Here is a 13,286-nt window from a genome sequence, read left to right as displayed (position 1 = left end):
GTAGAGTGGGCTATGAACTTTTTTTTTTTTTTTTTTTTTTGGAGACCTGGAAATTTGTTGCTCTTTTATATTGCTATCATGAATTTTATTTTTCTTGAGTAACTTTAACAAGCTGCTTATACTGACCTCCTAACTGCTCTCTTTGCCACCTTAGACTCCAGTTTTAACACATAAGTTGAAACATGCCACTGCCTTGTGTAAAAAACCTATGGTGGGCTGGGCGCGGTGGCTCATGCCTGTAATCCCAGCACTTCAGGAAGCCAAGGCAGGCGGATCACCTGAGGTCAGGAGTTCAAGACCAGCCTGGCCAACATGGTGAAACCCCGTCTCTACTAAAAATACAAAAATTAGTTGGGTGTGGTGGCATGTGCCTGTAGTCCCAGCTACTTGGGAGGCTGAGGCAGGAGAATCGTTTGAACCCAGGAGGTGGAGGTTGCAATGAGCCAAGATCATGCCACTGCACTCCAGCCTGGGCGACAGAGCAAGACTCTATCTCAAACTAACAAACAAAAACAACCTATGGTGACGTTTTCTTGCTCATAAGATACTTGTTACCTGGGCACTCCTGGCTTTCCATTTCACCTCATGTTCAAATTGTCACCTCCTCTGTGAAATCCTACCTGGCACCTTAAGCACACTGTGATCACAATGTTCTCACAGCATTTCCCACATTGTGTCAGAGCTGGCAGAACACCTGTCTCTCCTACTAGACTCTGAACTCCTTGATTGCAAGAATCACATCTCAGTTATCTCGATATTCCTGTACTCACTAGAAATTTCCATAAGTTCTTCCACATTTGCTTCCTGGGTATGTCAATTTCAAGTTACCTGTCTCTAAACTTTACTGCCCAGTATAGAGTTCGATTGTCTTCGGTCGCTGTAAATTCATGGTTACTATTAAGGAGATGGAAAATGATGGGGAAAATTCCATTTGCCAATGAGATGACTGGGAGATACTTGTACCTTTGCATGTGGTCAAGAGAGATAATTTATCGGCGTTACTAGCTTGGCTATTGTAATGAGTGTATAACATCAGAGCAGGACAATAGAAGTAATCTGATCAATTTCAAGTTTTCCTCTACCTTCCATTCCAGATGAGACATTTCAGTTCCAGGCAAAATGTACCACAAATTGGTGCTTACTTTTAAAGTTACATGTTTTTGGCCGGGCGCGGTGGCTCACGCCTGTAATCCCAGCACTTTGGGAGGCTGAGGCGGGTGGATCATGAGGTCAGGAGATCGAGACCATCCTGGCTAACAAGGTGAAACCCCGTCTCTACTAAAAATACAAAAAATTAGCCGGGCGCGGTGGCGGGCGCCTGTAGTCCCAGCTACTCGGGAGGCTGAGGCAGGAGAATGGCGTGAACCCGGGAAGCGGAGCTTGCAGTGAGCCGAGATTGCGCCACTGCAGTCCGCAGTCCGGCCTGGGCGACAGAGCGAGACTCCGTCTCAAAAAAAAAAAAAAAAAAAAAAAAGTTACATGTTTTTTGTTGTTTTGTTGTCTTCATCAAATTTAAGTAAAACTTCCTATCACTGGGATTCTTTTCATTTTTAGTCCTTCAACCCGTGCTACATGGCTTCTCCATTTTTTTTCTGTTATAAGCTATTTTACTTCACAAAGTCAAATATTTATTCCATAATGTCAAACAGGCCTATCTTCTCTCTGAATTTTATTTGAAAATTCTTAAAATAGTAAAGCAATGGGTTAAGTATATCTCTCCTTCGATGAGAATTACATTTTTGCTGGGCTTTCTGTCTGTAAGTATAGGTATGCCTTATTTTAGTACACTTCATTTTATTGCATTTTTTATAAATTGAAGGTTTATGGCAACCCTGCATTGGGCGAGTCTATTAGTGCCATTTTTCCAACAGCATGTGCTCACTTTCATGTCTCTGTGTCACATTTTGGTAATTCTTCCAAAATTTCTAACTTTTTCATTATTATTATATCTGTTATGGTGATCTGTGGTCAGTGATCTTTGATATTTATATTCTTGTACCCACTGGAAATTCCCAGGTCTTCCACCTTTGCTTACTGGGTATGTCAATTTCAAGTTACTTGTCTCTAATTGTTTTTGGGTGCCACAAATCACACCCATATAAAATGGCAAACATAATCGATAAATATGTGTGTGCTGGCTCCATCAACTAGCCTTTCCCCATCTTTCTCCCTCTCCTCAGGCCCCTCTATTCCCTGAGATGCACAATATTGATCATGCCAATTAATAACCCTACAATGACCTCTATGTATTCAAGTGAAAGAAAGAGTTGCATATCTCTCACTTTACGTCAAAAGCTAGACTTGATTAAGCTTAGTGAGGAAGGCTTGTTGAGACCTGAGACAGGCTGAAAGCTAGACCTCTTGTACCAGTTAGCCAAGTTGTGAATGCAAAAGAAAAGTTCTTGAAGAAAATTGTAAATATTACTCCAGTGAACAAATGAGTGACAAGAAAATGAAACAGCCTTATTGCTGGATATGGAGAAAGTTTTAGTGGTCTGGATAGAAGATCAAACCAGCCACAGTATTTCCATAAGCCAAAGCCTAATCCAGAGCAAGGCCCTAACTTTCTTCCATTCTGAGAGCTGAGGAAGCTGCAGAAGAAAAGTGTGAAGCTAGAAGAAGCTGGTTCATGAGGTTTAAGGAAAGAAGTCATCTCTATAATATAAAACTGCAAGGTGAAGCAGCAAGTGCTGATACAGAAGCTGCAGCAACTTTTCCAGAAGATTCAACTAATATCATTGGTGAAGGTGGCTACACTAAACAACAGATTTTCAAGGTAGACAAAACAGCCTCTTATTAGAAGAAGATGCCATCTAGGACTTTCATAGCTAGAAAGGAGAAGTCAATGCCTGGCTTCAAAGCTTCAAAGGCAGCTGACTCTCTTGCTAGGGGCTAATGCAGCTGGTAAATTCATGTGCTCATTTACACTCCAAAAATCTTAGGGCCCTTAAGAATTATGCTAAATCTACTCTGCCTATGCTCTAAAAATGGAACAATAAAGCCTGGATGACAGCACATCTGTTTACAGCATGATTTACTGAATAATTTAATCCCACTGTTGAGACCTACTGCTCAGAAAAAAAGATTCCTTTCAAAATATTACTGCTTACTGACAAAGCACCTAGTCACTCAAGAGCTCTGATGGAGAAATACAAGGAGATAAATGTTGTTTTCATGAGTTCCAATACAACATCCATTCTGTAGCCCATGGATCAAGGAGTAATTTTGACTTTCAAGTCTTAGTATTTTAAGAAATATATTTGGTAAGTCTATAGCTGCCACAGATAGTGATTTTTCTACGGGTCTAGGCAAAGCAAACTGAAAACCTGGAAAGGTTTCTAGACGACATTAAGAACATTCGTGATTCATGGGGAAGAGGTCAAAAATATCAACATTAACGGGAATTTGGAATAATTTGATTCTAGTTCCCATGGATGACTTTGAGAGGTTCAAGACTTCAGTGGAGGAAGTAACTGCAGATGTGGTAGAAACAGCAAGGAACAGAATTAGAAGTAGAGCCTGAAGTTGGGACTGAATTGCTGTAATCTCATGACAAAACTTGAACAGGTGAGGATTTGCTTCCTACGGATGAGCAAAGAAGTGGCTTCTTGAGATGGAATCTACTCCTGGTGAAGATGCTGTGAACACTGTTGAAATGACCACAAAGGATTTAGAATAGTACATAACCTTAGTTGATAAAGTAGAGGCAAAGTTTGAGAGGACAAAGTCCAATTTTGAAAGAAGTTTTACTGTGGGTAAAATGCTATCAAACAGCATCACATGCTACAGAGAGATCTTTGGTGAAAGAAAGAGTCAATGTGGCAGACTTTATTGTCTTATTTTAAGAAATTGCTACAGCCACCTCAACCTTCAGTAACTACCACCCAAATCAGTCAGCAACCATCAACATCGAGGCAAGACCCTCCATCAGCATAAAGATTAAGACTTACTAAAGGCCCAGATGATCATTAGCATTTCTTAGCAATAAAGTATACTTTCATTAAGGTATGTATATTGTTTTTTAAGACATACTGCTATTGCACACTTAAGAGACTACAGTATAGTGTAAATATAACTTCTATATGCACTAGAAAACCAAAAAGTTCATGTGATTCACTTTATTGCAATATTCACTACCTAATGGCAGTGGCCTATAACTGAACCTGCAGTATCTCCAAGGTATGCCTATAATAATACACTTAAAAGAAAGTGTATTTTCAAAAGATAAAAACAAAATCCACAGTTAAACTACAGCAATAAACATTATAATCTATTGAGACTCACCTTACCAAGAGTAAATAAGAACCCTATGAGAGAACATACTAGAACTCTAAAACTCTATTAAAGGACATAAAAGATGAGCTGAATAATTGGAAATACAGTCCATGATCTTTGGTGAGATGACTTAATATGTAAAGATATTCTCCACCCCCAAAATATATATACATACACACATATATATTTATATACGCGTATACACAATATATCCCCAAAAAACTGCACTTTGATTTTTTTTGGAGGAGCTTAATAATTTGTTCTAAAATTTTATATAGAAAAGTTCCATGAATATGTAGTCAATTTTGAGAAACAGGGAGACAGATAGGTTTTCCCTAATAAGCAGATATATTAGGATGTATCACAAACTTACAGATAAAAAAATAAAAAATACACACACACACATATCATCAGCCCAAGAACAAATAAACTAATAGAACAGAATAGAGGACTTGGAGACTCATGTTTAAAGGGGAAGTTGATATATAGGAGAGATGGCATCACAAATAAATAAGGCAAAGAAGTGCTGTCTAATAGCTGGTGTTGGGAAATCTGGCTCATCTTAAGAATAAAAAATAAAACTACATCCCTCCTAAAACTACATACAAAGGTAGGCTCCAGATGGATTAAAGACCTAAGTACAAAAATCAAAATTACAAATCTGGTATTAGATCATATAAAAGAAAAATCTCTGTGATGTGGGGAAAAAATGACTTATCTTAAATAAAACCTCAAGAGTTTAAGCTGTAGGTAAAAAGTGACAAATTTGATTACATCTAAATTAAGAATTTCTGTATAATAAAGGGTACCATGGTCAAAGAACATACAGATGGCAGAAAAAGATAGATATTTATAGTCTCTAAAACAAAACTGTACTACTGAAGTCCATATAATTCATGAGTATCCAATAAATATCAACAACACAGAAATCCCACAAGAAAAAAACTCAAGCATATGAAGAGATGCTGAAATTCATGGGCAATCAGAGAAATGCAAATTAAATAATAAGACAACACCTTCATGCTTTAGGCTAGCAAATTCAAAAGCTGATAATACAAAGTACTGGTGGGGAAGTACAGTATCAGAATCCTCAATGTTTTGCTGGTGGGAGTAGATGGATGCAACAATCTGACAATATTAAATCAAATACATGTATACCCTCTGATCAAGTAATTTCACTCCCAGAAATTCTCACACTGTTTTTTTATTTTTTTAAGAGATAAGGTCTTGCTATGTTATCTAGGCTGGCCTAAACTTCTGGGCTGAAGTGATCCTCCTGTGTAGCTGGGACTACAAGCATGTGCCACCAATGCCTGGCTTCTCACACTGTTTTGTAACATAGATATGTGAAGATGTGTATTATAGAATTGTTTGTAATACTGTAGTGTTGTAGGCAATGTGACTGTCTATAGGGAAGTGGACAGGTTATTTGTGGTAAATACTCATGGAAAACGGTCAAGCAGTTAAAAGCAATCAATTATGGTCACCCAGCAATGCAGATAAATCTTAAAAGCATATGATGCTATGATACCAAAGCACAAGCACCGCCCCTGTAAATAGAGGAATTAGATTTCTTCAGCATTAAAACTTTGTGCATCAAAGGATAGTATCAAGAAAGTAAAAAGACAAATGGAGAATGGGAGAAAAATACTTGCAAACCATGTATCTGATAAAGGTCTAGTATTCAGAAAACAATTCAACAATAAAAAAGACAAATAACTGAGTTATAAATGGCAAAGGATTTAAATAGACATTTCTCTATGTAAAGAAGATTTACAAATAGTCAATAAGCACATGAAAAAGATGTTCAACATCATTACTCATCAGCAAAATGCCAATCAAAACCACAATGAAATACCATTTCATACCCACTAGAATGGCTAGAAAACAAACCCCTGAAACAGAAAATAAGTGTTGGCAAGGATATGGGGAAATGGAAGCCTCATACATTGCTGGTGGGAATATAAAAGGGTGCAGCTGCTGTGGAAAACAGTTTTGAAGTTCTTCAAAAAGCTAAACATAGTTACCATGCGACCCAACAATTCCACTCCTAGGTATACGACCAAGAAAAATGAAATCATAAAACAACACAAAAACCTATAAAACAGCATTTGTAGTGGCATTATTCACAGTAGTAGAAACAACTGAAATGTCTATCAAATGATTAATAGGTAAGAAAAATATATGTATGCATAATGAAATATTGTTCATTAGTCATAAAAAGGAATGCAGTACTGATGCATGCTACAACTAGGACGTACCTTGAAAACATTTTGCCAGATGAAAGAAGCCAGACACAAAAGGCCACATATTGTATGATTCTATTTATATGAAATACCCAGCAAATCCACAGAGACAGAAAGTGGATAAGTGGTTGCCTAGGGATGGGGGTTTCGAGAGAATGGGAAGTGATTTCTAATGGGTATGAAGTTTCTTTTTGGAGCAATAAAATGTGGAACTAGTGGTAATGATTGCAAAACCCTGTGAATATACTAAAAACCACTGAAATGCATATATATATATATATATATATTTCTGTTTTTGAGATGGAGTTTCACTCTTGTTGCCCAGGCTGGAGTGCAATGGCGCAATCTCAGCTCACAGCAACCTCTGCCTCCCGGGTTCAAGTGATTCTCCTGCCTCAGCCTCCCGAGTAGCTGGGATTACAGGCACATGCCATCACGCCTGGCTAATTTTGTATTTTTAGTAGAGGTGGGGTTTCTCCATGTTGGTCAGGTTGGTCTTGAACTCCCGACCTCAGTTGATCCGCCTGCCTTGGCCTCCCAAAGTGCTGGGATTACAGGCATGAGCCACGGCGCCAGGCCAAATTGTATATTTTAGAATGATTAATTTTATAGTATATGAAGTCTATCCCAATTAAAAAGAAAAAAAAGACAACAGCTAAATGTCAAGAGGAATACTGGATTGGATCTTAGAACAGTAAAATGGCATTAAAAGAAAACAACAACAACATGGTTCTGAGAAAAACCCAGTGTAAAATCCATAACATTTACGTAACTCAAAAATAAATGCCAACACACAACAAAAAATGTATTTTAAAAGATGTACAAATAAAATGCAGTACATAAAACATACTAGAATGCTTGCCAATGGGAGCAGTGAGAGAAATGAGAATGGAAAATGGAGACAAATGGGAATAAACAGATAAATCAACTGAAAACAAAACAAAACAAAAGTATTGCAACACTACCAGAATCAATTCCAACAGGAGTGCTTGGTAGCCTTTGGTAAGTCATGTTCACTCTTAAAATTAACAAGGCCTGACAAAAAATTTGAAATTAATTTTGAAAAATTATATAATTTAAGTTTTTTTTTACAGTAAGCAGGAACTACCAGATATAGTAAATTTATGTTCCATATTTAAAAACAAGATACCATGGCAGAGGAAGAGGCGGTAGTGTTGTGGGGAATGCCATATGATAGAGAACAGTCTCAAGTCCTGGCTACAGTTTGGAAGTCTTTTATGAAATATGACACTTGCCTTACCATATCCTTGGCAACATAGGCACAAATATTAAACAGCATCTAGCAAAGGGGGAAAAAAGGATGGAGGGACCAAGAGTTGTTCATTTTCTAGGTAACTGTCTTTTACCTGTCAATGGGGAATGGCTGATGGAGAGAAGGGGAGAAGTATCAGATGGGAAGCTCTGCTGCCCTAAGGTATTGATCTGAATGTGTGGTTTCTGAAAATAGCTTTAGAGTTATAAATATTCATTTGACTCATTAATGCAGTTGATAGATTTTATACTGAATTTTATGAGAACCTGGAAGGCTTACAAACTCCATGAATGAGATCTTTATGGACAGAAGGAAGATTTTCTGTTTTTTCCTAAGAAAAATAAGAGATTCTGGATGTTTTCATAGTTTAAAAAAAACCTAGAGCATAATAAAATAGTGTGTGATCAGTGAAATGTGATTTAACATATAAAATGTGACTGTATTTTAAGAGGCTGTGGCTGCATATGAAATATACTTTAAGTATATATCTTCTAGGGAGCTTCCCTCCACCCTTCTCTTTTCTCTGCACACAAACTGACGTTACACAGGAAATCTTAAGTGTCTGTCCACAAGTGTTTGGGCCAGAATGTGAAAGGGAACTTTTATTCTAAGAAAAATTATGAACAATCTTGGATAATCTCTTGGAGAAAATACCATCAACATTAAACAGTAATTTTGGGGGAAAAGTTACTGGAGAAAGAAGTAGTTTTTTTTCCTAACAATCTATCCCAAGGCTACCCAAAGTGTGGTTCATAGACGAGATACATAGATATTGAGAGTAAGCATTTAGAACATTTTTTAACCACAGGCAATTCATCTAACTGCTCTGTGACTCAGTTTCCTCATCTACAAGAATTGGAAAACCATAGTGCCTGCCTAGGATTATTGTATTAGTTAATATATGTCAAGCATTTAGGACAGTGCCTGTCACATAGTACACACTTATTAAATACTATTATTATTTCCTTGGGAAGTGAGATTTAAACAGAGACCTGAATGAGGGAGCCAGTCATGTAGGTAAAATAATGATATTAGATGAGCACCCTAGGGTATTTATGCAGTTTATGTATATTTTCACCTTTAACCCCTGATGATGATACTGAAATAGATATTACTACTCCAGTTCTACAGTTAAAAAAGTGAAGATTAGAAATATTATGTAGTTTTTTTGTCATGTAACTAGCTAATAGGTATCTGTGGCCTTTGTCAAAAGCCTTACTTCTTTTATTGGGTTTAAATAGCCTCTGCTTAGGTAATGGGACAGAAGCCCTCAGAACTAACATCTCCTAACTTTTACTTTGTTCACTCATTCGTTTACTCATTCCTTCATTCAAAAAATATTTGCTGGCCAGGCATGGTGGCTCACGCCTGTAATACTAGCACTGTGGGAGGCTGAGGCAGGAAGATCGCTTGAGCCCAGGAGTTCGAGACCAGACTACGCAACACAGTGAGACCCCTATCTCAAAAAAAAAAAAAAAAAAAATTAAAAATTATGTAGTCCTAGCTACTCAGGACGCTGAGGTCAGAGGATCACTTGAGCCCGGGAGGTTGAGACTGCAGCGAGCCAGGACTGTGCCACTGCACTCCAGCCTGGGCAACAGAGTGAGACCCTGTCTCAAAAAAAAAAAAAAAATGCTGAGCATCTAGTATCATAGTCAACCAATATGTTTTTTGTTTACAAAGAGCAGACCATTTAAATAGGGATATGGTTATGTAAGAATGATGTCCAGTGAAGTGCAGAGATAGGAGGTGCTATGGGAGTTGCGGTTGCGGGGGAAGGCCATGTACATAGAGGCCAGTGAGGCCCAGCTTAGAGAGGGTGTGGAGAGAATACTGAGAAGTACATTTAAAAGGCTGAGAGCAAAATCACAGAACACTTTCTGGGCAGAGAGTGGGGAAGCAGTGGAGCTTCTACAAGGGATTATTTTAGAAAAGAATCAGCAGAGTCTGAGAAGAGTATAGGAACAGAATGGAGAAGGGAAAGAACAAAGGCAGGGATGTCACAGCATCTTGGAATCCTGCCCAGAATTCGACAGGGCCTAAGGGAGCAGTGAAGTCAATTCATGTCCATGCAGAAATAACCCCTATAGCATCTTGAACAGATTTATGTAATACCTTAGAAATAAATGATGAGAGTGGTGTGGTAGGAACAGAAACAAAAGGTAGAACCAGGAAGTATAAAAGACTTGGAAACCAACTAGATTAGAGGGTCATGGGAGAAAATGGAACATGAATACACATTATAGTATGAGGAATTTTAACATCAAAGACTGACCCTTCATAATTCTGTTTTTGGCTTCTCCTTGTTAGTTTTGCAAAATCAGGAAAAATGAGAGCATTACATAGTGGTTATGTTGTAATTCACAAAGAATATGGACTGGCTAAAGATGGTTCCTAATTAGAAATTCTTAATGATCAAAAGGCAGCTTTACAGCAAGGCAAGACATTAAACATGTTTGGGAGACTCCACGGCTGCCAGTATGTGTTTTATGCCCCACTTACTAGCCATTCCCACGCACTCCTTTACCCTGTTTACAAAGCGGCTGCCCAGAACAAAGCCCTGTCCCCAAGGAAAGGCACACTGTGGCATGGGCCTGACATAAAAGACTTGATATCAACAGTGACTTTCTTTGAACTGTTTAAAGGATTTTCTCTCACTTAAGCGAAGACTTAAGACATTATTTTAAGAAAATAAGATCTGAAAAGTACTACCAGTCTCTTTCACTTCTGGGTGCTTGCTTCTCTAGCACATAAATAAACGGTCCACACTCACTAGCTGGATTATTTTTCTTGAGCTGCTGACAACTTTATAATAAGTTGTTTTTTAAGTTCATTAAATTGAAAAGGGGAAGAATAAGACTCCAGCGTGCATACACAGTTATATCCCCGCAGTGATTCTGGCAGTGCTGGAGGAGGCCACTGCCTCACACAGGCTTTGTGCCTCTCAGATCAGCTTGGGGCAGGCGCGTCTACTGGCTCCTTACCTTCTTCAGCAATGACCGTTAGTGTGACGGTGACACCAGCATCTTTGATCAGCTGAACAATGTTATCATGAGACAGTTCAACAATGGACTGCCCATTCACTGCAGAGATATGATCTCCAACTTTCAGTTTTCCACAGCGGTCAGCCGGACTTCCTTCTATGACTCGGCCAATTTTATGAGGAATAACTATGGGAAAAAAAACCCCAGGTTTTTCAATTATTTAAGATTTCTGCTAGTGTTAGATTTATAATCAACGTCATTTAAAATTCAACATAACATCAAAGAAAATTATTTAAAAACATAACAGAAAAGTACCACACGTCATCATCGCATCCAAACGGAACTATTTTCATACTTCTCACTTTTGCCCACATGCATAAATACTCTTTACACAGTTGTAATCATAGCATATAAACCTCTTTGCTATTTTCTACCTACCAGAAACCTTTTTCTAATTTTTACATTCTCATCGTAATTGTTCTGTTTAAGAGCTACTAATCTCACTGATACCACCTGACTGATCAGATGTCTCATTGTTTATTGTTGGCCATTTAAGCTGCAACAAGTTTTTAGCTATTTTAAAAACTGCTACGATAAGATTATCTTTGCTTCTGTTAAAGGGACACTTGCTCCCATAAGGAACCTTGTAAATAAATGCAGGTCAAACTCAGGTTTAGCACTCGGTAGTTATTGGTCAGAAATTCAGGTACAGTGAAATGACTGACAATTAAAATGAATCATACTTAATTCCACATGTAAATTAATTCCTCTTATTTATGCCTTTGGCTCTTTTTAAAATTTGAAAAGCTGAGTGGAATTGGAACATTAAATGTTAACTGTTAAGACTACTTGACTCATGGATCAAATTCTAAACCAAATACACAAAGCTGAGTCTAATACAATTGCAAAGATGCTCTGTGTAGCTCTACTGTATCTCTAGCTTATAATGCTAAGAGCCTTCCTGGACTAACTATTAAGATACTCTGCTATTATTATAGCTTGAAATGAGTTCTCAGATATTCAGGAAATCTTGTCAAACAAAATATTTTCCACCGTGCAACAGGCAGCATTTGTATTAGGAAACAAATGTTCCTTCTATGTTCTCTGAGAATTTCCTAGCCTAGGTCAGTAAACTTTAAACTTATCAGGTATGTGGGCTCCTGCTGACTACTGACTGATTTGAATAGGGATAATTCATATTTTTGAATGGCACTGTGAATGATGTTTAATTTCCATAGTAAAACCTGCTCCTTACTAGTATTTCTGAATCATATCTAGGAGTATGTAAGGGACATTTAAATAGACCTTCATTTGGAGTAGAAAAGTTATTCTTGATGATGATTTATTTCCCTACAGACAGTGCCCTGGCTCTTCTAGGAATACACAGTGGCAGATTTTATCTTAAAATAGAGTAAGTCAATGTTGGAAGGAAGTGCCTTTTAGCTCTGAATTATGTCAAGCACTTATTATTCTATTTTCCTTACAAACAACGTAATTAGAGAAATGCCAGTGCAGAAAGGGCCATGTCATATCAGGCATTATGAGTTGATTCACTAATTCTACAACAGGTGGCACACCAGAAACATACGGCAGGTCATACGGTGGCCCTGTGGTGACCTTCTAAATCAATATCTCAGTTATTCTCCTTACAAAAGATTTACTCAAACATAGTGTTCTTTCTAGATACTCTGAGAAGAAAATCATTCAGTTCCTTGGCTCACTAAAAGGAGTTTGTTCAGACTTGGGAAAGCATTAAATAGAATTAATCTCTGAAATCTTAGTGGTCCCCTTTCTCAGTCTGCGAGCAATGTGGTAAAAAGAATTGGTGCATGGTGGTATACAACTTCCTAAAGGGCTGGTTGTCTGGGTGAGGGAAGGTAAAAGCAGTCAGATTGTTACTGTCTTAGTATTTATAGCAGTGTCACCGGAACAGTTAAAAATAGCAAACAGACCAGTAGAAAGGTAGCTTCTGAACATTTTCTAAACGGACTGGGAAACTGTTCAAGGTAACCCCTTAGAGTTCACATAGCTAGGGAAAAGCCTTCAGTCCTGCCTTGTTTTTGTTGATACACAAAGTCTACAGGCATTTGCCATAAAGCCAACTTATCCATCTTCATTCATCTTTGGCCTAAATCTGTCTCATAGCCTGGCTTGTCTAGATCCTGAGATCACTTTAGTGCTCTTAAAACATTTCTTTTCAGGAAAACAAAGAACAGTAACTGGAAATGTTCCCTTTTCAAAGAAATCCTTTGCAACCAGAACTGAAAACTACATGATAAGAAGGAATAACACTAAAAGCTCTGAAGTACTAGTAAAGCAAAAACTAGCCGAGTCTTCTTAATCTTAAATAGAGGCCTTTTCTAAGTACTCCATTCATTCAGCACTTAGACAAATTGTGAGGATGCTAGACCTGGATCCCTGATCTTTGAAAAAGTCAACAGTAGAGAAACTCAGAATTCCATAACTGGTACCACAGATGCTACTAGGAACTCTTCTTGAGACATACGT

General features: G+C 37.9%; 1 protein-coding gene across 5 annotated transcripts in view; it reads right to left on the bottom strand.

Moving 5' to 3' along the window:
- Window positions 1-13,286, bottom strand: part of MAGI3 (membrane associated guanylate kinase, WW and PDZ domain containing 3) — a 295,409-nt gene that overhangs the window by 15,880 nt on the left and 266,243 nt on the right. For all 5 annotated transcript variants that reach the window (XM_017000974.2, NM_152900.3, XM_005270737.4 and 2 more), the window contains exon 16: window positions 10,779-10,964. In XM_017000974.2, coding sequence (XP_016856463.1) covers window positions 10,779-10,964 — 186 coding nt within the window. The remainder of the gene's footprint in view (window positions 1-10,778; window positions 10,965-13,286) is intronic.

The sequence above is a fragment of the Homo sapiens genome, chromosome 1 (genome assembly GCF_000001405.40).
Source record: "Homo sapiens chromosome 1, GRCh38.p14 Primary Assembly".
NCBI classification, from domain to species: domain Eukaryota; kingdom Metazoa; phylum Chordata; class Mammalia; order Primates; family Hominidae; genus Homo; species Homo sapiens.
The sequence above is the reverse complement of the archived record's forward strand: the minus strand, read 5'-3'. Positions and strand labels throughout refer to the sequence as shown.